This window comes from Homo sapiens, chromosome 18 (assembly GCF_000001405.40).
Source record: "Homo sapiens chromosome 18, GRCh38.p14 Primary Assembly".
NCBI lineage: Eukaryota > Metazoa > Chordata > Mammalia > Primates > Hominidae > Homo > Homo sapiens.
In genome coordinates, this window is record NC_000018.10 from 67,805,905 (window position 1) to 67,833,389 (window position 27,485).

At 35.2% G+C, this 27,485-nt stretch overlaps 2 long non-coding RNA genes and 1 pseudogene across 2 annotated transcripts in view; 1 reads left to right on the plus strand and 2 right to left on the minus strand.

Annotated features, from left to right (window-relative positions):
- Positions 1-27,485, plus strand: part of DSEL-AS1 (DSEL antisense RNA 1) — a 383,074-nt gene that overhangs the window by 289,359 nt on the left and 66,230 nt on the right. The gene's annotated exons all lie outside the window — the stretch shown is intronic.
- LINC01903 (long intergenic non-protein coding RNA 1903) lies at positions 2,603-8,918 on the minus strand. The gene is made up of 2 exons (NR_146471.1): positions 7,842-8,918; positions 2,603-3,672 (listed from the first exon to the last, which is right to left on the minus strand). It is a non-coding gene; the product is annotated as a long intergenic non-protein coding RNA 1903 (long non-coding RNA).
- LOC100131011 (myotubularin related protein 14 pseudogene) lies at positions 24,594-26,039 on the minus strand (annotated as a pseudogene).

Consider the following 27,485-nt stretch of genomic DNA (forward strand, 5'->3'; position numbering starts at 1 on the left):
TGGGTCAAAATATCTATCTAAATTGTAACTAAGCAATAAATACTCAATGGCCACAACATGTTTAATTAACAACTCATCTCTGGACCAAATGATTTAAAAGCACTCTGGGTGAAATTGGCACAAGTGTAGAAGTCCTTGGGCATGTGAAATATTCCTAAAATGAGGAGAGAAATACTGTGGAAAAAGATATGTTGGCACATATTTGTAACCTAGGAGGAATGCTATATCAAGAAAATGAGAAACGGTGGCTTCTGTTGTAGTGCTGTGGCTTGGGTTTTGAATCTGGTCATATAGCCTGGTTTTAGCTACATGACCAGATGGGGTTGCTGTGGTTTGAATGTGTTCCCTCAGAAATTCAGGTGTTCTCAATGTGATAATGTTAGAGGTGGGTCCTTTAAGAGGTGATTAGGCTGTGAAGAATTCTCCCTTCTGAATGGGATTAAAGTCTCAGCAAACTATCAAAGGAACAGAAAACCAAACACCACATGTTCTCACTGATAAGTGGGGGCTGAACAATGAGAACACATGGACACTTGGAGGGGAACAACACACACCAGGGCCTGTTAGGGGGTGGGGGGTAGGGGAGGGAACTTAGAGAGGGGTCAATAGCTGCAGCAAACCACCACGGCACACATATACCTATGTAACCAACCTGCATGTTCTCCATAGGTATCCCAGAACTTAAAGTAAAATAAAAAAATAAAACAAAGAAGCTTCATCCAGCATTTTCTCACTTGCCTTTCCATTTTCTCCTATGTGTGGACACAGCAAGAAGGCCCTCGCAAGAACAAATGCTGGTGCCTTGATCTTGGACTTCCAAGTCTCCATAACTGTGAGAAAATAAATTTCTGTGCTTTTAAAATTACCCAGTCTCAAATATTTTACTATAGCAGCACATAATGGACTAGGACATGGGCCTTTACAGACATAGACACATTTTGCACATATCTTAGTGGTTTACACTTAAAAGATGAAATCCATCACACATGAGAGGATTTTGCTTAGATTTTGTGGATCTCTTTAATGTTTGCGTGTGTTTTCTAAATCCTATTGTATTGTATCCTCTGTCTTTATTAAAAACAGCAATGTGGCCTGGCGCAGTGGCTCACGCCTGTAATCCCAGCACTTTGGGAGGCCGAGGCTGGCGGATCACAAGGTCAGGAGATCAAGATCATACTAGCTAACACAGTGAAACCCCGTCTTTACTAAAAATACAAAAAATTAGCCAGGTGTGGTGGTGCATCCCTGTAGTCCCAGCTACTCGGGAGGCTGAAGCACAAGAATCACTTGAACCCGGGAGGCAGAGGTTACAGTGAGCTGAGATCTTGCCACTGCACTCCGGCCTGGGTGACAGAGTGACACTCCATCTCAAAAACAAACAAAATAACAACAACAACAAAAAACAGCAATGTATAACCAAATGTGTAGATTTTGAGAGGCTTTGTAATAATTTAAACAAGCTAATTGGACCAGGTATTGACATGGGAGTGCACTGCTTGGACATAAGTGTTGCATTTGTTTAGTATGAGTAGACAGTGCCACATGCTTCTTGAAAGTGGTTGTACCAATGGACATGCTTTCCCAAACCACTCCACTGAAACTGTCCTTATCAAGAACATGCTGATAAATCCAGTGGCGGTTACTTCCTTAATAGTAGTGCTGCCTTCACTTGGTTTCCAGGACACCACACTCATCTGCTGTTTCTCCAGGGGATGCTCTTCTTCAGGCTCTTTTGCTATAAAATCTTTATATTATTTACCTCTAAGCATGGGGATACCCCAGGACTCCTTCCTTGGGCCTCTTCTCTGTGTTACCCAGACTTACTCCGTTGTTATTCTAATCTATCCTCCCAGCTTAAAATCCTTGTTTTATTCCAATGGTACCCTACCTAAATATTAAACCAGGACTTCTCCTCTGATTCTAATCTCTTGTATTACCTATCTGTTCAACTTTTCTAATGAGATAGATAACTGTCATGTCAAACTAAATATTCTAAAATGAGTTCCTGATGTTCTCCTCTAAACATGTAACTCCCCAGAGGTTTCCATTCCAGTAATTGAAAAATGTAGGCCAGGCTCCATGTCTCATGCCTGTAATCCCAGCACTTTGGGAGGCTGAGGTGGACAGATCACCTGAAGTCAGGAGTTCCAGACCAGCCTGGTCGACATGGCAAAATCCCATCTCTACTAAAAATACAGAAAAATTAGCCAGGTGTGGTGGTGCGCACCTTTAAGCCCAGCTACTTAGGAGGCTGAGGGAGGAGAATCTCTTGAATTGGGGAGGCGGAGGTTGCAGTGAGCCAAGATCACACCACTGACCACTGCACTTCAGCCTTGGTGACAGAGTGAGACTCCATCTCAAAAAAAAAAAAGACAGAAAAAAAAATAAAAATCTATTCTCCCATTTTTCTCATAGCAAAACCTTGAAGTCATTCTTTATGCCTTTTTTTTTTTTTTTACACCTAAATCAAACTTTCCATCAACACTTTAAGGTCTACTTTCACAAAGATATTTGTAACTTGTTAGCATCTCATAATCTCCTTATTTGGTTGGTGCAAACATAATTGCAGTTTTGAACTGTGAATTTTAAATCATTATAACTAGGCACAAATACATCTTTATTAATCAAAATAGGAACCATTACAATCAACACATTTTTGCCAAAGAAAGAAAATAAGTTTGTTTATTTCCATGGCATAAAAAAAAAAATACGTGCTTCAGGATTCGATGAACTCTTGGAAAGCATTTTCTGCCTCCTACTAGTTGTGGAAGCTTTTTCCTTGCAAAAAGTTGGCGAGATGCTTGAAGAAGTGGCAGAGAGTTGGGAGGTCAGTTGGTGAGAGGTCAGGTGAATAAAGTGGACGAGGCAAAAATTTGTAGCCCAATTTGTTCGACTTTTGATGCATTGGTTGTGCTACATGCGGTCACGTGTAGTTGTGGGGAATAATTGGGCTTTTTCTGTGGACCAGTGTCGGCTGCAGGCATTGCAGTTTTCAGGACATCTCATCGATTTGCTGAGCATACGTCTCAGATGTAATAGTTTCATTAGGATTCAGAAAGCTGTAGTAAATTAGGCTGGCAGCAGAGCACCCAACAATGACGATGACCTTTTATTTGGTGCAAGTTTGGCTTTGGGAAGTGCTTTGGAGCTTCTTCTGGATCCAGTTATTCAGCTGGTCATCACTGGTTGTCCTATAAAATCTACATTTCGTCGCACATCACAATCCAATAGAAAAGTGTTTCATTGTTGTTGCATAGAATAAGAGAAGATGACACTTCAAAATGACTTTTTTATTTTATTTTGGCTCAGCTCATGGGGCATCCCACTTATCTAGAGTTCTCACCTTCCCAATTTGCTTCAAAGGCCGAATGACTGTGGAATGGTCAACAATGAGTTCTGCAACTTCTTGTGGTGTTGTGAGAGGATCAGCTTCAATGATTGCTCTCGGTTGTTGTCAACTTCCTGTGACCAACCATTATGCTCCTCGTCTTCAAGGGTCTCATCTCTTTTGCAAAACTTCTCGAACCGCCCCCGCACTGTACCTTCATTAACAGTCCCTGGGCCAAATGTGTTGTTCATATTGCGAATTGTCTCCACTGCTTTATGACCCATTTTGAACTCGAATGAGAAAATCGCTCAAGTTTGCTTTTTGTCTAACATCATTTCCATAGTCTAAAATAAACATAAAATAAACAGCAAGTAATAAGTCATTACCAAATGAACATAAAGTGAGAAATGCCCATTAAAATGATGTATAACATAATCACATTTCTTTAAGAATATATTCCAATATCAAACAGCAAATGCCAACAACACAAAAATCACAATTACATTTGTGCCAACCTAATACTACTTGAGTTAAATCTACATCCTCTCCAATCAGGATTACTGTGATAGCCTCTGTAAAATTATCCTTGCTCTTTGCATTTCCCCTATACTCCTCCATCCACAGGGTAAGCAGGGGTATCTTATCCCAATGTGTATCATGTCCCTCATTTCTTCCATGTCTTTGCTTAATGTTTGCCTGCTAAGTGACAGTATTTATTTTTTCTGATCCAATTACTGAAATTGCTCAAAATTTTCTTCCCTTTTTTTCATATATATAGAAATAAACATATTTGTTTTCTTATTTTTTTTTCTATTTTTTGTTCATTACTGCATTCAACACACTAGCTAGCATAGGACCACACTAAATTTAAGCACTCAACATTCACACACTCAGAAACATAATCACCTTTATTTCAACCTTAATTGAAACAGTGGTATTCATCAAATTGGCTAAGATCACTCATGTTGCTTCCTTTACCGCCAATACAGCATTTTCAATTTTCATGCTCCACATCAGGGAAAATAATTTTCTTATTTAAAGCAATAAAACAAAACTCAGCCTTCAGATAAATGCTAGATGTTGGTCCTGGTCAAAAATGACTCACTTATTCTGTTCCATCAAACTTCCCAGCCTGTCTCCTAATCCTTCCTTATTTTTCATTTTCTCAACTGTGGACCATAACCTTCTAATCTGGGACTGTTGTATGTGGAGCCATTCCACATAATCCTCCCCTCTACTATGACCGGTGGGTTAAGCTAGAAAAGAGAGTGTACATAAGAAACGACTGAGAACTGAAGAATTTGTCCAGGTGATTTTCTTTTGTAGATTTATTTTAATGGGCACTGTGAACAAATATTGTTAATTTTTCTTTTACCGACTGACCGCTAAAAAGTTCATGGCCAAGTTTGTTAATGTCCTATGCCAAAATAAAGTCTCATATGAAAGGTCATCTATTTTTTTTCTATATACTTGTTACTTTAAAAAGCACAATATTGGCTTTTATGATTTATCTTTTGGACCATTTTAAGTCATGCTCAACCTTTGGTGAGTGTATAAAAAATATGGAGGCAAGCATCTAGATGATGATAATGGGCACTTTTTTCACCTTGTCTTTTTGGACACAGAAAGACATGAGCTGAGAGTCAGTTTTATTACCTCTTTTTAAGTTAAAAAATGCACTATATATCTGTATTTTATACTTTAAATTGTAACTCGTATTAAGAGTAATCAGTAACTAATTGAGAATATACAACAAATAATAACAAAGAACCAGTTTGAAACAGTTTGCCTTGAAAAAGCTTAATAGCTGAATAGTAAAACTACTCAAATATACTATATCTCATCCTCCTAACAATCATAAAAGTGAGATAATTTAATTCCAGGTTGGGTGAGAGATAATAGACATGCTGCTAGATACAATAGCTTGTCAAAGATCAAATAGCTAACGAATAAAGGAAACGTACTTAAAACCTGATTTTATTTCAATGAAGTGTGTGTGAGAGAGAAGACTCTACCTCACTCAACTTCTTAAATAGGTAAAGTAGTCCCGGAACAAAGAATTATGTTTTTCTTGGTTTATCAGTTTCATCTTTTTAAAAACTTTTTTTTGTCAGAATGAATATATAGCTTCTTGAACACGGGGAATGCTGAAATGCTCCCTTAAAGCAACACATTAAATTAAGCACTAAGATTGATTTTCTTATTGTCTTCTTCCCCATTGGCCATACTTTAGTCCTTCAGAAGTTCCTCTGTTTTCTGGAGCGATAGAAATATACTCTGTGGTAACTGGAATGATAGTTAAAGCTTTCAAGTTGAAGAGAAATTATCTTGATCTTAAACTTTGCAGCAGATTATTAACTAAATTTAAAGAGAAAAAGGAAGGAAAAAAGACTAATATTTATCTTATATCTTTAGCCAATAATACTGTTCTGTTGTTTCAGAACAGCCCAGTCTATTTTTTCTTTTTTTTCTGAACCTTGGGGATTTTCTTATTTTACCACCATTTCCAAGAATTGAAAAAGGCAAAAAAACTATGTAATATCTCACAATTTGCAAACCAGTGGTTGAACAGGGTTTGCAGGGAGGGTGTGTATAACCACTTCTTTCATCTTCTCAGTGGAAAAAATGCGTATGTTCATAAACACATACTTTGCCTATGGTTTCAGAGGATTCAGAAACTATTTAAAAATTAATATTAAGGAATTATAAAATATAAGGAGGAATTTAAATTTTATGCAGAAGAACCAATATTGAGTCCAAAGGAGGCTGACTCCAAAGCGCAAACTTTTAAAACGTACGACAGAGAGGTGAGAAGTAGCTTTCTCTGATAATGTGTAATTGCTATTTTTTGATACCACATTTTAAATTAATTAAAACGAATTTGCTCACTGGCCATCTTGAAAATAAGAAAAATACTTGCCTATTTGTATATACTTGTAACCATTAGCAATAATGTGACCTGTTCTTATACGTGAATGTAAGTATAATAGCTTAAGACAACTCTATAAACAAGACTGTACTTTTGAGAACTAAATCTTTAAAAAATTAATCGCCCATCTAGTTTTAAAGATTTTTCTCTTACATCAAAAGGTCACCTATTTAGCTTACGAATCAACCGAAGTTCAACATTTAGCCTAGGCTGATTGTGTCCGGCCATTGCCACGTTTTTTGTGGCTAAACAGTTACAGCCATGTGGTGGCTCATGCTTCAGCAGTTTTGTGGAACACTGTGGTTGTCTGGGGTCCAAACTAGTGTGTTATATATAACTAGGCCAGAAGGCAAAATGCAGCAGAGTTCTGAGTGCAAAAGTAAGGGATGTAAGGATATGATTTCGTCCATCTGTACAGGGAGATTAAATAAGGACACACAGCAAGTGCCCCTATAGGAACAAAATGGGCCCATCTCCTGTGGCCGACACTGCTGGTGATCACACAATATCAGCTATTTTCTTCGTTTATAATAATAGGAGTTCAATTTTATCAGAGAAAAATAAACCAGCACAACATGGAATTACAATATCATCTAGCGATTCCATTCCTGGGCATATACCTCAAAGAATTGAAAGTGTATGTTCAAACAAGTCCTTGTACATAAATGCTAATAGCAGCAATATATTCACAGTAGCCAAAAAAGGAAAGCAACTCAAATATTTGTCAAGAAATGAATGGATAAGCAAAATATTGTGTATCCATACAATGTAATATTATTCACCCATGAAACAGGAGTGAACTACTGATACATGGAAAAACCTCTGAAGTATTATGCTAAGTGAAAGAAATAACATAAATAATAGATGATGCATTGTATGATTCCATTTATATGAAATATTTAGGATAGGTAAATCTATGGAGACACAAAGCAGATTAGGGGTTTACGGGGACTGGGGACAGGGAGGAATAGAAGGAAACTTCTTAATAGGTATGATGATGAAAATATTCTAGAATTACATAGAAGTAAGCATTGTATAACATTATGAACGTGCTAAATGCCACTGAATTGTACACTATTAAAAGTTTAATTTTATTCTTTATGAACTTTACCTTAAGTCAAAAAGAAAGCATTCTGGAAAATGAAGTTTATCTCAAGGGTCAGGGGAAAAAATATCCCAACTAAAACACCATAATTCCAGTTTTCTGCAACTATATGTGACTACCTGATTAAGCTGTCGATATTAAAATGTCAGTGGAAATGTTATGCGGGATTTCAAAGAAAACATTTAAAAGAGGATAACTCTGCAGTTTGATGTATTTTGCTGCTTTCCCTTTACTTTTTTTTTTTTACCTTACCTGCAAAACAGTTACAATCTGGAGTGTCAGCAACTGTTTGGAACATGAGATAACCTTGAGATTGAAAGCATTGTGAAAGCCTCTATTTCATAATACCCAGCCTGTGAGAGAAAAACAAATTTCTATTCTGTTTAAGACAGTGTATATCTTTTTTCTTTTCTTGTTATATGCAGCATGTCATAATTCCAAGGAAATGTGTAATTCCTGTAACAAGAAAGTTTTCCCACCTGGAAGAATGTCCAGAATAAAGTTCTTTTATGAGTATATTTTGTGTCATGATCTGAGTTTGCAACTAAGGGCAAATTCAAGTGGCTGTTACTGAAGGCAACACGAGCCATGTGACAAAAGGAACTTTGGTGCCTCTTAAAAAAAACCACATAAAGGAAAGTAATAATTAGAAATGCCACTAAATAATGGTGCTTAAGCCATCAGCTCTAATATGTACTTTTGAAAGCACAGGACATTTCAGAATGTATTTATTGTTCAGAACTTTACTATAAACTTTGCCGAGTATACTGAACGATTTCATTGAAACAATGAAAATTTGCTTTTAAATATAATACGAATAAGAGGGTTTAATTTTAAATATGACAAGAATTTAACACAACGTGTTACTAAAATCTTGGGACGAAAAATAATAATACTTTGAAATAAAGTGAGACAAAATTACTGATAGAGGTGAGCATATACTGCTTCAATTGAAGCACTTCATCTTGATTAAATGTTCCATACCCTTTGGCAGAGTGTCTGAGGTGGGATTTTTCATATAATTTGATATGGGGGAATTAATTACAATGTTATGATGCTGGATACTTTTTATCTTGTAGTGCTAATCTACATTAGTAAAGGAATATGTGCAAAAAAGAAAACGAGATGAACAAAGATAGTGTAGACCCTAAATTGGCTCTTTCTAAGGTATAATAAAAATATTTTTTGAAAAGCACTTGTTAACAATGGAAATATTTTGTATATAAAGGACATTTCCAAAACTTAAATATTTAATATATCCTATGTCATAGGGTCTATTTGATTTATCATAATATTTTCAGGACTGAAATATGTAATATTTCTTTGCTTAAGTGTAAAGTTAAAGAGTATTTGAAGTGGCGGGGTGTGGTGGCTCACGCCTGTAATCCCAGCACTTTGGGAGGCCGAGGCGGGTGGATCACGAGGTCAGGAGATCGAGACCATCCCGGCTAACACAATGAAATCCTGTCTCTACTGAAAATACAAAAATTAGCTGGGCGTGGTGGCGGGCGCCTGTAGTTCCAGCTACTCGGGAGGCTGAGGCAGGAGCGTGAACCCGGGAGGCGGAGCCTGCAGTGAGCCGAGATGGCGCCACTGCACTCCAGCCTGGGCGACAGAGCGAGACTCCGTCTCAGAAAAAAAAAAGAGTAATTGAAGTTAGAATATTAAGTCCCCAAATTGAGGCTTTTTTCAGAGATAGTTTAGAATGGAAAATACAAAATGCAACAAACATTTGCATAATGCATTTACCAGGAGCGAGAAACCACCACTCTAATCTTCATATTTTTATGCTTATTACTTCAATTTTTCCACATGAGGAAACAGAAGCATGGAGAATGTAAGTAAATAAAAATGGTATTATGTAACGTAGGCCTTGTCAAATATGTAGATATAGAAAATATAGATGTTTGACAATATGCATAATGATGAACCTACTACACAAACATATATGTGTATTTGCTCTAATATAAGGCAAACCCCAAATTAAATGCAATATCCCATTTTTCTTTGAGATTTACAAGCCATTCAGCATCCTATATTATAATAAATTTGAGATATGTACATGACTCATCAAATATCTACTTATATTACTTCATGCACATATTTTAAAAATAGCATATATAAATTATTTTAATGTATTTAAATATTGAAATTAAATATCAGCTTAATTACTTCATGTACACATTTTTAAATAGCATATATAATTATTTAAAATATTTGAATATTTAAATTAAATATAATATCATTTTAAAATAGCATATATATAGAAACATGACTTCTTTCTTCTCTTGTATTTTTATAAATATGTATTTAAGCCCTTCACATGTATCTTCAAAATCAACCTAGCAGTCAATGCCAGAGGCACCTTTTATGTCATCGAACTTAGTTTATCAGAGCTCAATAACATCCCTTCTGTCTAACTTGTTTAAATGTTGGAACTTTTAGAGCTGTATATGATATGCCACCAAACACTTTGTCAACCTTCCAGCACTCAATCGTAAGATACCAGGGCAATTTATATTTAAATTTAACTTGTGGAATATATTTAGAATATATTTAACAGGGATATTTACTGCACTGTTGTGTGTGTGCAGGTATGAACTAGAAAAACTGATGTAATGATCTGTAACACTTGCCAAATGGGAAACAATTACCTGGGGATAATTTGAAATCCAAATCTGTTTAATAACTTTAATATATTTTCCTCTTTGTTTATCTTTTCTACCAGGTAGCTTCTATAAGTACACCAAACATTGTTTTATTCTTTTGTCGTCTGTGTTTTTTATTGTAAATGGACAATTTGTAATTGTATAGATTTATGGGTTCTGTGAAGAAGGAGTACTCTGGCTAAAAAAAATTATGGATTAAAAAATGATATTATAATCTATGAATGCAATGTGAAATAATTAAATCAAGCTAGTTAACCATAGCCATCACCTGAAATACTTAACATTTTTTGTGGTGAGAACATCTGAAATGTACTTAGCAATTTTGAAATGTGCAATACTCTATTAACTCTATTCACCATGCTGTGCTATAGAACTCATAAAAAGAAAAAACATATTCTTCCTGTTTGAAATGTTATACCCTTTGACCATCACATCCCCATTTCTCCCATCCCCCAGCTTCTGTCACCAACATTCTACTCTCTGCTTGTATAAGTTATTGTTTCATGTTCCATACATAAGTGAGAACATGCGGTATTTTGTCTTTCTGAGCCTGACTTATGTCCCAGCGTAATGTCTCCAATTCCATCTATGTTGTCACAAATGTCAAAATTTCCTTCTTTTTAAAGGCTGCAGAGTACTCCATTGTGTATATGCACTACATTTTTTTATCCATTCATCTGTTAATGGGCACTGAGATTGATACTATTATAAATAGGGTAAATATTAAAAATTAAATATTGTAAATAGTTCTATTCAACTGAGGTTGAGGCTATTGTAAATAGTGCTGCAATAAACATAGGATTGCAGCTATCCCTTCAGCAAACTCACTTCAAGTCTTTTGCATTAATACTCATTAGTGGAATTTCTGGATTATATGATAATTCTATTTTTAGTTTGTTGGGAAATCTCTATACTGTTTTCCATAATGACTGCACAAACTTATTTGTTTGTGCACATTTGTATACTATTTCCACCAATAGTATACAAGTGTTCCCTTTTCTCTATATCCTTGCCAACACTTGTCTTTTTTTGATATAAAACGTTCCTTTTTGAAATGAAGTATGAGATAAAAATATAATAGTAAACATTTTAGAAGACATTCTGACAGGTGAGAGATGGTATCTCACTGTGGTTTGAAATTGCATTTCTCTAATGATTATTAATGAGCATTTACCCATATGTGATGGCCATTTGGCACTATATATATCTGTTGGTATCTTTATTTATCTATATAGATATATAGACATGTATGTTTAAGTTTAAAATGTACCATTTTATCCATTTTTAAGTGTACACTTCTGTGGCATTAAGTACGTTCATACTGATGTGAAATCATCACCATCATCCATCTCCAAAATTTTTTCATCTTCCCTAACTGAATCTCTGTACTCATTAAACAATCATTCCCATTCTCCTCTCCATGCAGTCCCTGGCAACAACAATTCTACTTTCTGTCTCTACTAGTTTGACTACTTTGGGAATCTCTTAAAAAAGGAATTATACATTTTTATGTGTGTTGGGGAGAGGCCTGGCTTATTTCACTGCTTACCTTATGACAGGTTTTTTGACAAAAAATTGACAATTTTTTAAGGCTAAATAATGTTCCATTTTATGTATATATATACTACATTTTGTTTATACATTAATTTATTGATAGATAATGGTGCTGCTTCCACCTTTTGGCTATAGTGAATAATACTGCTATAAATATGGGTATACAATTTTCTGTTTAAGTCCCTACTTTCAATTCTTTTGGGTTATACCCCTGAGTGAAATTACTGAGGATCATGTAGAAATTCTAAGTTTAATATTTTGAGTAATTGCATGCCATTTCAAACCGTTTTGGATTGAGGACTAACGACTTCATGCAGAAGAGGTTTGCCCCAAATCTGCTTTATTATTCAAAGTAATGCTGGTGAAAGGGTGGTATAAAACCTGCAATGACTAACTAATTCACAAAATTACTTTTTTAGGAGGGTAAGATTGAGAAAAAGAAAAAAAATCCATTTTATATTCATTCCTACAAAGCAGTCAGCCTTGTTTCAAGTTAGAGACACAGGGAAATACACTTGGAATTGACTTGCATTTGCTATTATTTAATATATATCGTAACCTCGTACGAAATTTACATTTCCCTCCTTTGTTCTTTGTAGTACACATTTTTATTAGAGCAGGTTTAAAAAATGCTTTGAAAAATGGCAGATAACAAGCCGGCTGGAGTATAATCTCTGTTTGTGCCCTCCACTATGTGGATTTCATTAAATAAGTATGACATATTTTATTTTAAGAACACTGAATCGCTTTGCTTATCAAGATATATCAGCACAAATTGGTTATGCTAGTTGATTGCTTTGAAAAAGTACCTACTTAGCATACAGCTATGTAATAAACATTGTTTGAGGTCATGTGTAGTTTTCTATTAATATTTCATTATAAAGAACACAATAGCTTCTTTATAGCTGAGTTTTGTTAACTTTATTTTTCTATGCAAAAAAAAAATCATTGAAAGTTAAATTTGTTTTATTCTGGAAAGTTTTTCGCCTCAATCTATGCAAGAAATTTAAAAGAGAGAATGTAATTATTCTTTGATACTTTTTTCAATTTCTTCGATGGTTTTTGAATTCACACTTTAAATTCTTCACATTTTAAATTCTTCAACCACAAATTTGTCAATCTTGCTTTGCAATTTTGCTGAGGTTTTCTAATTTACTTCTTTAGAAAAATTTAAGCCATTGTCTCTTTCATTCTCCATGTTTGTTGATACATCTGCTTTCTTCTTCCTTCTTTTAGATATTGGCATTTTTTTCTTGCTTAAATATATCTGTTGTAGATCTGTTGAGTATTTTTCTTTTAATCTAACTCTTTGATGTATTCTAATTTATATTTTTTCTGTTTCGAAAAGTATTCTGATTTTATGGTAATTGTTTTCTTCTAATTTTCCATTAATTTGCTTTTATTATGGCATTACATATCTTTCTTACACATGAATGATGAAAATAATTAAAACATCCATGTGGTAGATTTTATTACTGTTTAGCAATACCCATTTTTCTTTCTTGGTGATGATTATACTATTCTACCCCTTACAGTAAGACTAGGCTCTGGGATTTAAGGGGTATGATTTCCCCTGCCCTCTCTTTTCTTTGTGTTGTATGCCAGAAATATGCTTGCATTAGCCTGATAACAGAATAGATTAGTCCCCAAAATATTATGTGGGGGAAAATCCCCAGTCAACCAGTGAGACACAAATAATGTGTTTAAAAATGAATAGTTGTTGTCTTAGCATATTACAATTTGGCATTGTTACTAGTGTATCCTGACTGAACAGTCTCTTTCATCATAATTGGGCTAAAGGGAAACAAAATTATATTATTCAAGAAATACATCAATAAACATAGGAGTATTGCATTTCAAAACTCATGGAACCCCAAATCTATCACCCAGTCTAATCAGGAGAAAAACATCAGGCAAATTTCAATACAGACACATCCTACAATATACTGGCTCAAAATTGTCAAGATTATTAAAAACAAGGAAAGTCTTAGAAAAGATCATGGTCGACATGCACCTAGGAAGACAAAAATGACTAAATGTAATGCAATATCATGGATGGGATCCTGGATCAGAAAACAAAAAGCAAAAACAAAACCATTAGGTAAAAATGAAGAAAATGTGAATGAACTATGGGCATTATTTAATATTTTTTAAATGAAAGAACAAAAAATATCTGGAAGGAAACCACAGAAATGTTAAGATTCTGATCTAAAATACTTCTATCCTTCTCTGAACTGAGCGCATATCCAATATTTTATGAGCCATTATTGCACAATTTCTGAGTATATGCATACATGGAATACAGTTCAGTAACATTTACATAAAAACAGCAAATTGGCTGGATGTAGAATTCTTGGGTCTCAGCCTACCTTCCTAAGGATCGGAGGACGTCGTTCCCTTATCTCTCTGTTCAGAATTACAAAGGAAAAAATCACAGACACGTCTAATTTTACTACTTTTTAAAAGCAATCTGAATTCATACTTAAATGTTGTATGGATTTCTTGGAATTACAAATATGTCATATGTTATCAGGGCTTTCATCTGTGTATGTAACTATTTTCAAATTTAATTTTAAATTAATTTTTCAAAACTTGGGCGAGGTTGCTTGATCTGTAGATCACAGTTACTTTATGGCCAGGTAGTTAGTCTTATATGCTTTTATTTATTTATTTTTTGCTGTATTCACTTTGAAGGCTTACATAATACTGAAAGAGTTGACCTCTTCCCCTCGTTCTTCATTTCCATTACACTTTTTCTCATAAATTTTGTCTCTTCATACATTAGTCTCTATTTTGACAGTTTCTTCCAAAACATCAGTTCTGTTTAATAATTATTTCAACATGACAAAACTATTGAGATCAAAACTTTAGAAAACACATGGAATGAGGCATATTGTTGCCTCATTTAAGAGAGCTGGAATATCCTTCCTTTCAAATCAGCTAGTGGGGGAATAAGTACAATCTCCATTCAAATTCTAAGACCCAGTTGCTGCTCCTTCGGGTTGCTCTTCTGGAATTCTGCCTTTCCTGACGTCTTGAGTCTCTGAAAATACTAGGATAAACTGCAAGGTTTCACATCCACACACTATATTCCTTGATACAACATCAGTGCTATCAGGGCCACTAACTGCCCTTTGGCAACATAAGAACCATGCACCCAGCAGGAATGCATTTGGTCTTTTCCTCAATCTAACCAACTTCTAATGTTATTTTTTGAAGCATCTACAAATCTCAGGTTTCATTGAGATTGTACACAGTCCTCTAACCCCGTATTTATATTTCTAATTAATATATGTGGTCTTTAAATAAATATGGAAAGAGAAGATACTTTGAGTGGTAGGGAATGTGTCTCATTTCAACCATGGCATAAGAATGGGAGTGGAAATAATTATTGTCATTTATTGGTTCATGATCGATTCAGTTTAAAACTTGCTTAAGAGGGATACTTTGATGGATAAACTAGAGATGTTTTCTTTATATTCCTATTTACTGCACACAGTGACTGCAAAGCTTTTCCTTGATGGAATTTCTCTATTTTATTAATTTTTTCAATCCATGCATTTTCAAAACAACATCTATGTTTCACAGTCTTACGAGTCCATTCATTGAGGATAATGCTTGTGAGGCTTATCTGGATTATAGTATATAATTCTAGAGTGAGCTATTTTTAATACATTTGTAAACAACTGGACTATTGGAATTTGGGTGTATATCTGTGATACACTCTATTTAGAAATGAATAAACAAAAGACAAAATCTACACCGAATGCAGCTACCAAAATAATTTGACATTGAGAATGCTGTAGCTATAAACATGAGATAAACATGAGATAAAAATGCAAAACAGTCTAATGTTTAATTCATTGTGACTCTAATTTTCTGTAAACAGGAAGGTCAAATATAGAACGACCTTTCTCTCATTTCTAGTCAGGAAGCACGGTATTAGTACCATGCAGGTCTTCACATTCATTTCAGCCTGTGGAAGCCTAACCTCAGGAATCCATCATTCTATCTGTCAGGAACTGAGTTTCATAATCCAGTGTATTTTCTTTGCAGGTTTTTACTCTCTATTTGGGAGTAATAAAATTTGTAATTGTCATAAATAGAAACTTTGACTTCTCTTTAATCTCTTCAATAATTTTTGGATGGCATTTGCTGGTAATCAATTGTGTAAATATGTGTGAGTGTGTAACTGCTTTCAATCGATTTTTAAAGAAGATTCATTATTCTAAGTAATTGCCTTTAAATACTTAAACTGTGTATTGATCCGTAGGTCTGCAGCTCAATTTGGCTTCAATTAGTGCTACTATTCTTTTCCAGCTTTCTACACAATTGCTAGTATCATATAAGGAAATAATGAAAATTCCCAGAGCAGCCAGTATCACTATTCTCAGGTCAGTCTGTTAGACCTTCTTTATAGGCAGTGATTGTTTTTCTTAGGATGGCATGAAATAGAGTTCACATTTTAAAGTGAGACAGATCTTGTTTCAAATTATCTTCCTACTATTTTCCCTTAGCCTGGTTATTCAGTCTCTCTGTAGAGTCTGCCCCACTCTCCTACCCCCAAATAGGTAAAATAAACCTTGATTCTATAGTGTCTTTTTCATGTAAAAGTGTAAAGATAAAGATGGTGACATCTGCAAAATGTTTAACATAATGATTGTCTCTTCATAAGCCCTCACAAATCCTAGCTTCTTTGTCATTAGCATCAGTGTTGTTGAAGAAAACTATAAGTTATACAAGAATTGGCATGTAAAAGTGACCACAAGTACAGTTTTTTGTTTGTTTGTTTGTTTGTTTGTTTTCTTGAAAGAGGCTCCTGAATTAATTCCAGAACCACCTAGGTTGGACTGATTGTGGGTGGATGCCAATGTGGTGGGAAAGATATGGCTAGGGCAGAACATCCAGCAAGTCTAATTCCAACATTAGAGAGTCACCATGAGTTTACCGTTGTGCTGAAACAGGGTCCCCAGTGTCCCGCCAGCATAGCCGGACCCAGCACCCTCCACTGTGCTCAGTACATGTGATCCCTTCAGGTGTGAGCCTGAAGAAATGGATGCAGGGTCTACACATTCAGATTTTTGTTGTTGTTGTTTACTTAGATTGTGTGTTATGAATAAATTAAATAAATAAGTGAAATCTAAAGATTTTATTATATTATTATTCACAAAATACAAAGGATTGACAAAAATGTCAATAGTACACATACCTAAACTTTTTTTAATGTCATTTTTATTTGTATCTGAGATTACTGTGGGGGTAGCAATTGCAATATTAAGGGTGGCTAATCCTCTAAACTTAAATTATTCCCTTGGTCAAACCACAGATGAAATACTAACTACCAAAATGATATGCTTATAAAAGAGGAAACCTTATGTTCTAAAGCTCATTGGAAAGTTGGTCTGTTTGCAGCCAGGCCAAAAGTTTTAATCATATACCACTTATTAAGCATTTAATAAATATTTTTCTTAGGTCCTTAAACTGCCTTATTTCTTTTTTTTAATTTTGAGATTAAAAGTAAATGGTGCCTTTTTATTTTAATAGATAGACTATTTCTTAGAGCAGTCTTAGATTTACAGAAAAATTGAGCATGAAATACAGAGTGTTCCCAAATATACCCTTTCCTCAGGCAAATTTCTCATATTATTAATGTATTGCATTAGTATGTCAAAAATGTTAGGATTGGTGAGCCAATACTGATAAATTGTTATTAAGCAAAGTCCACAGTTTCAATTAGGGCTCACCCCTTGTATTTATTCTATGAGTTCTGATGTATGACATGTATCCACCATTACAGTGTTATACGGAACAAATTCACGCCTTGCAAATATCCTGTGCTGCGCTTATTCATCTCTCCCCCAACCAAATACTTTTTAGCCACTGATCTTTTTGTTGCCTCTACAGTTTTATTTCTTGCAGAATGTTATACAGTTGGAATCCTACAGTGTGTACCCTTTTAACATTGGCTTCTTTCATTAACAATATGCATTTAAAGTTCCCCCAATTCTTTTATTTGTTTCATAACTCATTTGCAAAGACCATTTCTTGAGAAAAACTAGTTTGACAAACTGTTAGCTAAACTCGCAGAGAAAGAATATACAAATAGCTAAAACCACAAATAAAAGTGGAGACATTATGACATTACCACTGACCTGACAAAAATAAAGATGATTATAACAGCATACTATAAGGGATTTTGTTCTAAGAAATTATATAACCTACATGATATGGATAGATTTCCCAATCACAAAAATGTCCTCAACTTACACAAGAAACTATAGAAAGTTTAAATAGAGTTATAACAAAGTAAATAGATTAAATCAGTAATCTAAAACCTCCCAACGACAAAAAAGTTCAGGACCAGATAGAAACACTGGTGAATGCTAATATTTGATATGTAAGTAATACTTAACACATATATTTAAAGAATATTTAAATATTTGAAGAAAAATATACACAAATCCTTTTCAAGCTCTTCCAAAAAGTACAAGAGAAGGGAACACTTATAAACTGATTCTATCAGGCCAAAATTGTCTTGATACTAAAACCAGATGAAGACATCACACAGACACACACACACACACACACACACACACACACACACACACAATTACAGACCAACATCTCTCATAAATATAGATGTGAAAATCCTTAAAAAAATACTACTAGCCTGAATCCTACAGTATAATAGTAGAATTATTGACCATAATAAGTGGGATTTATCTCAGAAATGTAGGGGTAGTTAAACATAAAAATAAATCAATTAGTACCACATTAATAAAGCAAATTGAAAAACCCAAATGTTTATATGAATTGACACATACAAGTCATTTGACAAAATCCAATGTCATTTCATGGTAAAAGCACTCAGAAAACTAAGAACATAAGGGAGATTAATCAGCATAATAAAAAACGTCTATAAAAATAGCTAACATTATACATTGAATGGTGAAAGACTGAAAGCTTTCTTTCAAGATAAAACACAGAAGGTTGTCTACTTTTACTATTGCTATTCAACATTGAACCGCAATTTCTAGTCAGTATTTAGACAAGAAAAAGAAAAGGCATCTGAATTTAAAATGAAGAAGTGAAATTGTATTAATTGATGACATGATTCTATACATAGAACCCTAAAGATTCTATAAGTAGTTACTAGTCATAATAAATGATTTAAGCAAAATTTCAGGGTGTAAGAGCAGCATGCGAAAAACAGTTTTATTTATATACATTTGCAATAAATAATCAAAACAAGAAATGAAAGCAATTTCATTTACAGTAGCATCTTAAAGAATTAAATGTCAATATATACATTTAACCAGGGAGATAGAAGACTTGCATGGTAAACACTACAAAACATTGCTGAGAATAATTTTTAAAAGACTTGAAAAAGAAGACATCTTGAGTTTATGTTTAGGAAGACAACATTGTTAAGATATCAATACTACCTAAAGTGAAGTGATTTGCACGTTCAATGCCATCTCTACCAAAATTCCAATAATTTTTATTTTGTGTAGGACTGGAAAAAATTGAGTTCACATTCGCATGGACTTTTTAAGGTGCCTCAATCATCAAAACGATTATGAAAATGAACAGATTTAGATGACTCATTCTTCCCAATTTCAAAACTTACTACCAAGTAACAATAATTAAAACAATGTGGAACTGGCATAAAGATAGACAGATAAACCAATGAATAGAATTGAAAGTCAAGAAGCAAACGTGTATGTTAATGGCCAATTGACTTTTGATAAGGGTGACAAGTCCTTCCGATGAGGAAAGCAAACATGTCTTCAATAAATGGTGCTGGGGCAACTGGATTTTCATAAAAGTATGAAGTTGGAACCCTGTTACACATCATATACAAAAATTAACACAAAATGGATCAATACTAAATATAAGTGCTAAATCCTTATAACTCTCAGAAAATAACGTAGACTTATATCTTCACGAAACTGGATTTTGTAATGGATTCTTAAAACTGACACCAAAAGTATAAGAAACAGAAAAAGAAATAAATAGCCAATATTTAAAACATTTATATATAAAAGGACATTATCAAGAATGTAAAACCACAACTTATGGAATAGGAGAAAATATTTGCAAATTATATATCTGATAGTGGTTTAATATCCAGAGTATAATAATAATTGCTAAAATTCAAAAACAGACAAAAAATGAAAATAGACAAAGATTTGAATTGACATTTATCAAAGAAGATATACAAATGGCCAAGAAGCACGTGAAAAGATACTCGACATTAGGATAATGCGAATCATAACCACAGTGCAATACAACTTCACATCTACTAGGATGGCTATAATAAAAACGGCAGAAAATAGCAAACAGTGATGACATGGAGAAACTGGTACCTTCATACACTGCTAGTGAAAATGTGACATGATGCACCCATCGTGCAAACAGTTTGATAATTCCTCAAAAAGCTAAACATAGAATTATCCTGTGATCCAGCAAAGTCGATGCCTAGGTACGTATCCTATATAATTGAAAACAGAAACTGGATACTTTTATGCCAAAATTTACGGCCGCATTATTCACAACAGGCAATCGGTGGACACAACCCAAGTGTCCATCAACAGATGAATGGATAAACGTTGTGAGTGTGGCCAATGCCACTGAATTATATATTTTATAATGGTTCAGAGGAATATTTTACATTGTATAGATTTTAACACAAAATTTAGTTATTAGCAAAAGAGGTACATTGTGTTGAAAAGCTGTAGAGTCCCCATTCCAAATGAAGAAGGATTCAACAATCTTGGCCAAACAAAAAGAAGTACCAGTTATTTTGAAAGACTGAAGGTGATATGATTTGGCTGTGTCCCCACCCAAATCTCATCTTGAATTGTAGTTCCCATAATCCCCACATGTGGTGGGAGGGACCCCGTGGGAGGCAACTGAATCATGGGGGCAGTTTCCCCCATGCTATTCTCCTGATAGTGAGTAAGTTCTCATGAGATCTGAAGATTTTAGAAAGGGCTTCCGCCTTCACTCTGCTCTGATGCTTCTCCTTGCTGCTGCCATATGAAGAAGGTTCTATTTGCTTCCCCTTCTGCCATGATTGTAAGTTTCCTGAGACTTCCTCAGCCTTGCAGAGCTGTGAGTCAATTCAACCTCTTTCTTTTATAAATTACCAGTCTTGGGTATTTCTGCATAGCAGCATATAAATTACCAGTCTCAGGCATTTCTTCAATGGACTAATACAGAAGGCAAAGACCCTCATGAATTAATATTAAAACTAATTAAAATAAAAACAAAAATAATTTCTAGCAACTTAAAATAATTTTAATGGTGTAATGCAAATTCTGAAAAACCAGAACTTTCCACATTGAAGAGCAGAGTGGACCACAGGAATAGATATGTTAAGGCCGTGGCTAGGAGAAAAGATGAGATAAAAAATCATGATTTTTGTTCAAATAACAGTTAGTGAGAAGAAGAATGCAAATATGTCTGACATATGATTAGCCCTTGAAATGTAAGAACTAACTTCTTCTCTTCCTTCCTTCCTTCTTTCCTTCCTTCCCTCCTTTTTTCTCCTTTCCTTCCTTCTTTCCTTCTTTTCTTCTCTCTCCTTTCTCTCTCTGAAGCCAGGGCACTATGGAATAAAACCAACCTTTTATAAATCATGAAATAAAACATAGTAATGTTCTATTAAGGAGCATCTGGTATTCTGGTGCAGGGCTGTCAAGTGCATTTTGAATATTCACTCAGCAGGGTATCTGCAATTTAAATATCTTGTAATAGTTAATAAGAATTGTCAAAGAAGCACATTAACATGCCTTAGGGATTAATTCTGTACCTTACAGGTTTCATGTATGTGAATAAGACAAGCCCATCATATGAGTTGCACAATCCCAAAAGACTATACTTACATATTTTATGCAGTTAGGTTTGAACAAATACTATGTCTCACATTGTATTTTACTAAAAATAACTCAAATACACACAATTGATGATGTTATTAAAAGTTTATTCTGGGCTGGGCGCGGTGGCTCACGCCTGTAATCCCAGCACTTTGGGAGGCGAAGGCGGGCGGATCACGAGGTTAGGAGATCGAGACCATCCTGGCTAACACAGTGAAACCCTGTCTCTACTAAAAATACAAAAAATTAGCCGGGCGTGGTGGCAGGTGCCTGTAGTCCCAGCTACTCGAGAGGCTGAGGCAGGAGAATGGCGTGAACCTGGGAGGCGGAGCTTGCAGTGAGTCGAGATCACGCCACTGCACTCCAGCCTGGGCGACAGAGTGAGACTCCCTCTCAAAAAAAGAAAAAAGAAAAAAAAAGTTTATCCTGTATTTGTCTTTTTGAATTATTAGCAATGTGTTTATATAACAAGTTTCTCTCTTTAAAGGTAAAAAGTATTTTGGTGTAGAGTCAAGGATGGGTTACAGTAAGTCACTAATATGTCAATTTAGAAAAAATAGTAAGAATGGCTTGATTTAAGCAGATTTTCCATCTCATTGCTATTACAGAGAGCACTTTTAGTTTTTTACACCTTGCGAGAACTCTACCAACACAAAGTTGATGATTTCTAAATATGAACATGTCATGTCGACTTTCAAAAGAAAGGAGAGTAGATAAAGAGAAGTAATGACATAAACTTTAGAGACTACATTTTGCACTTCATCTTTTCAGTGAATCATAAAAGAAGACAAACTACCCTTCTACATTGACTTTTTATGATCTTTCTTCTCATGAATTTTTGTCATTGAATGTGCGGTTTCTTTTATAGTGAGTCAATATATTTGTTTCAATGAGATCACAACCACCCCATAACCTGTGTTTAATTTGATTTACACAAATTATATGAAACAAGCTGTAGAATAATAATAATTATATGTGATATTAGTAAAATAAAAGGTAATTGTTGGGGAGAGTGGTGCTATTAAGTATCATCTTAATAATGACAATCCACTTAGCCAATTATCACTTTAATTAGATGAAGTGAAAATTGGAGAGATAATTTCCTATTTCCTTGAAGCATTCTACCTGAATCTGGATTTGACTGATGATAATATTTTATAAAACCAATAGAAAATGCATATTATCATAGGCCCACCAGCTAAAATGCTCAGGTTGATCATTTAATCAAGATTATGACATTCTGAGTCCTCCATTTGACAGTCATGGCTTTCACACAATAATGTCCATTCCTCCATCAATCATTCACATAATTATTTTGACACTAGTTGGAAATAAATTCTTTAGTGTAGCATTTGTGAAATGATTACACTCTAATTCTGTCATTCTTTCAATACTCACTAACTAGCCATCTTCTACAAAACAAAACTTTTCCTCATCATCTAGAGCTATTTGGTTATATTGAAATGTAGTTCTCTGAAAAGACAAGGTAAAAGCTTTAATTTTCCTTTTAATTCTCAATTTAGAAGTTTTTTAATGGCCACCTCAAATGGCGACAAAGCCTCTTCTAAGAGTCTCTTTTTCGACCTCAGTATAAACTTATAGGCTTTATGTTAATGAACAAAACAAGCTTCTGTCTTCAGTCAAGTAAACTCATAAGACTATACCTATATCTTTTATATTTTATTTCTTTAAATCAGTGTTTTAGAAATATACTTCAGTCTTTATAAAAACTTTGGCCATGGTGTATCCTCTTAAGTCTTCTCCTTCCTCACTCCATTTTCCCCAACACCATATAGGTATTATCTTTATTAATTCTTCGCTTACTTCTGCAAATACAGATGTACAAAGAGACGCTTACTTTCTCCACACATTTTTACACAAAAAGCAAACAAGGTCCACTATCCAGCACCTTGTTTTTCTCATTAGCAATTTATCCTGAAGATCTCTAGATACTGATATATAGAGATCATCATTCATTTCTTTTTAACGTCTCCATAATACTTCAACTGTGTAAGTACCCTAGTTTATACAGCCAGTCCTCTATAATAAGGCACTCAGCTTGTTTCCATATTTTTTCCTATTGAAATTAATATCACATTAGAAATAAAATCATGCATATCTACTTCATACATTTGATGATGAAGTATCTCTTCGATTCTGAGAGGTGATATTCCTGGGAAGGATGCTAAATACTTCTGTCATTTTTGTTACACATTGTCCATTTCTTTTCCATATTGATGGAAATATATTGCATTTTTTATAGACTTTTCCTTTTAAAGTAATTTTAGGTTCACCAAAAATTGAGGTAATGGTTATAGAGATCTCCCATGTACTCCTTGCCCCATATACAGTATCAGCCTTTCCTAGTATCAACATCTTCTCACTAGAATGATTCATTTGTTATAATTGATGAACCTACATTAGCACATAAAAAGGACCCAAAGTTCATAGTTTACCTTAGGGTTCATCAGTTCACATCAAAAGGACTCAAAGTTCATAGGTCACCTTAGGGTGTTATAATGCCATGGCGTTAGACAAATGTATAATGATAGCCACTATTATAGTGTCATACTGAATAGTTTCACTGCCTTAAAAATCCTCTGTGCTGGGCCTGTTCATTCTCCCTTTGCCTTTCCCCCTTCAGCTTCTGGCAACCACTGATCTTTTTACTGTCTCAATAATTTTACCCTTTTCAGAATCTCACGTAGTTGGAATCGTACAGTCTATAGCCTTTTCATATAGGCTTACTTCAGTTAGCAATATGCACTCAAAATTCTGCCATGTCTTTTCCTGGGTTGATAGGTTGTTTCACTTAGTGCTGAAAAGTATCTTTCGTGAAGTCATGCCCTCCACCGGGCCACGGGAAACCTCACACAATTTGGAGAGTTGGGGAATCCTGGCAAAGATTGGGGTGGGTGGGAGGCAGTGACCAAAGGGGACTGCCATTACCAGCAGGAGGCTGTGGGTTGGGCCATCCTGTCCTTGGTCCTGATCAGTTTGGGGGCTGCCAGATATATGATGGAGAAGGAGGATTGAAGCGATTTCTCCTGACCTTGAAATAACCCTTGGCTAGGCATGGCTTTCAGTCAGTTCAGGGCTTATTTGAGCAAGGAGCAGAAAACTATCTTGGACTAGCTGCTTCACCAGGTGCTGCTGGTGGTGCCCTGAAGTCAACACCGCAGGAAAACTGCTCCAGCAGGTCCCAATGGCATCAGAGGGACAGGGAGCTGTGCTGCTGTATGTGGCCAATAAAGCTCAGTGCACTCTTGCAGCTGAGCCGCCCCATAATTCAGGGCTGCAAGTCTGGGTTTGGAGACTTCCAGGGGGCCACTACCCATTCTGAAAAAGTTGTTGCAATGGCTGAAAATGAGGAGCTTGAAGACTCTGGCTTTTTCCAGCATCTGTTGAGAAGGCAGGTCATGCTCCGAGGGCTGCAGTCAATTCCAGAGTATACTTTGTGGAGAGGACAAGTGACTCTTCTCCAAGCTGCCTGAGTCTGTGATCCTTCTAGGAATAGCTCCACAACCTCATAGGTGAAGCTCTCAATGACGACTGAGGGCTCTCCATGACCAGGGAGAAAAGTCCCTGCCAAGGCTGGGATCCCTTCATCTCAGCATACAGATATCCTCCACGGTGAAGCCTGCATCCCAGCCTGACAAACTCTCACCTGTGTGTCTTCAGGGCAGAGAACTCCTAGGAAATGATATGCTTCAAAAACTCAAGCGGAAAAAATCTCCCATCCTTTGCTTACCCAATCTACCATCAAGTGCCCAAAGAGGAACTAGGAACAGGCTGTGGGTAGGTGAAGGATCTCAGCAGGCTTTAGGGATGTGTGGATGAGCCCATCAGCCCACAAAGAAAGGTGTAGAAAAGAGGGATGTGATCCCAGACTGATATACCAGCAGTTTGCTCTCATAGTTGCTGTTAACTACGGAAATCAGCAGTTTGGGGTAGTTTTGTGTTTGATGCAGCAGGTCCCACCACTGATACTGGCTCCAGTTAATGTTCAGAGAGTGAGTCTATGAGTCAGGTGTGCTCAATGGGACCTTGACATAATCCTGCTTCCAGTTAAAAATTTGCCTTTCAGCCATGTAATTCAATCCTTATATTCCTTGCAAAATTCACCGCCCAAACACAGGATGCAGAGCAGAGTGAAGGTGGCACAGCACTGGGCTTTGTCCACCTTCTCAGAGGAGGTCACATTCAAGCCAAGCTTTACTTTCTTATTCTCTACCATCAGGTCAGAGATGTATTTGACTGATAGGTATTGAAGCAGCTTGATGTCACAGCCTCTAACTTCCTGAAATAGTTGTGTATGGACACTTCAGAGAGCATATTCCTCTTCTGTGAAGTCCCCTGCATCTGTCCAGGCAGCACAGGCACCCTCTGAAAAATACAGCTGTAGCCAGTGGATTCATGCAGCTGCCTCCATTCAGCCAGAGGCTGACTTGCCAAATTTTCTGGCCCTTGAATAGTATTACTGGGCAGACAAACTGTTCTCTACACCTGACCATCTTGCTGTACTTGATGAGGTTTTGCAACTTGCTCATTTGCACAGTGTTCTCAAAGTGTCCATTTGATCTCTTGGTATGTATCCAAGACCTTCAGTTCCATAGTGATGAGATGAAGAATTCAAAGTAGGACTTGTCAATTATGAGATTATTATCATTATTCCATTTGGGTTATTGGTGGGAAAATTTGACACTTAGCAGAGCAATATTGCCATTGGCTAGGAATTAAGTAGTCTTCAGCATGCAGATAGTTATTTAAACTATGGGATGAAATGGTAGCCCCAGGAGAGACATAGAATGAGAACCAAAGCCAAACTTTGTAAATGTTCGCATTTATTTGGCATGCTGAGAATGGGAATCTTGAAAAGAGATAAAGGAAGTAATCAGAGACATAGGAAGAAACCAGGTGACTGATGGTGGTCATTGACTTGAGTAAAAGTGATTAGTCATAAGTCTTGGAACATGAAGAGAAAAAGAGATATTTATAAAATATTCTGTTCATCTGGTCACAGAAATGCTACAAATTTGTATATGTAAATGAGTACTTTCTATTGGCATGTAATTTTAATTTATATACTACATATAATTTCACTAATATGAATAGAAATAGCATAATAGATATTTAGACATTGCACTGACTTCTAGTCCTTTTTATGCAGTGTATATTTTGATATATTAATTCTTTGAAGGCAAAATATACAGTGAAAAATTTTTCCATGTCACATATTTCTGCAAAAATTTATTTTAGCATTTTGTGGCTTTGTGATAATTTGAATTAAAAAAGTATTATTTATGCATTGGTTTATTTCTGCCAAATACCTGTAATAACAAATTAAAATATAAGAAGATTTAAAAAGGAGAGAGACAAAATTCAAGTCCAGGATTTTCAAAGCAATAAAATAATTATTATGTAATTTAATTATGTTAAAAAATTATGAAGAACTTACTGTAATCCAGGCTCTTGGCTGAATAATTTTCATAATTTATCTCATTTTATTTTCATATACCTATATGATGAAAAAAACCCTCTAGTGTTATAGATTTAAAATCTGAGGCTTAGATAGACTGGGTTATATAATCAATGTCTATAGCTAGTCAGTGAAACCTGGGAAAAAACCCAAAACTGTGATAGAAGTCCAAAGCATATGTTATTAACCAATACGTTATAGCACATTCCCCAACAATAGGACAGATAAATGGAAAAAGAAAACACTCCACCTGACTTGTAGTCTTTCTAGATATCACATCTCTTTTGAAGCAGAGCTTTAGAAAAAAGAGGAAGGAGGTTCTGAAGGTGGAGGAGAAATAGGAGAAGGCATTTTTTTCTTCTCAGTTCCCTAAATGAGCAGATGTTATTTACAATGACAGTGAAATTATTACACATTTATCCTTCCAACATGTTCAACTGTTCAACTATGTAATTAATTTGTTAAATCAATTCAAAGACAGCAATTCTACCAGTGCAGAGAGAAGTCCTCCTATGAGTGAAGCCATTGGAAGTGGGAGCT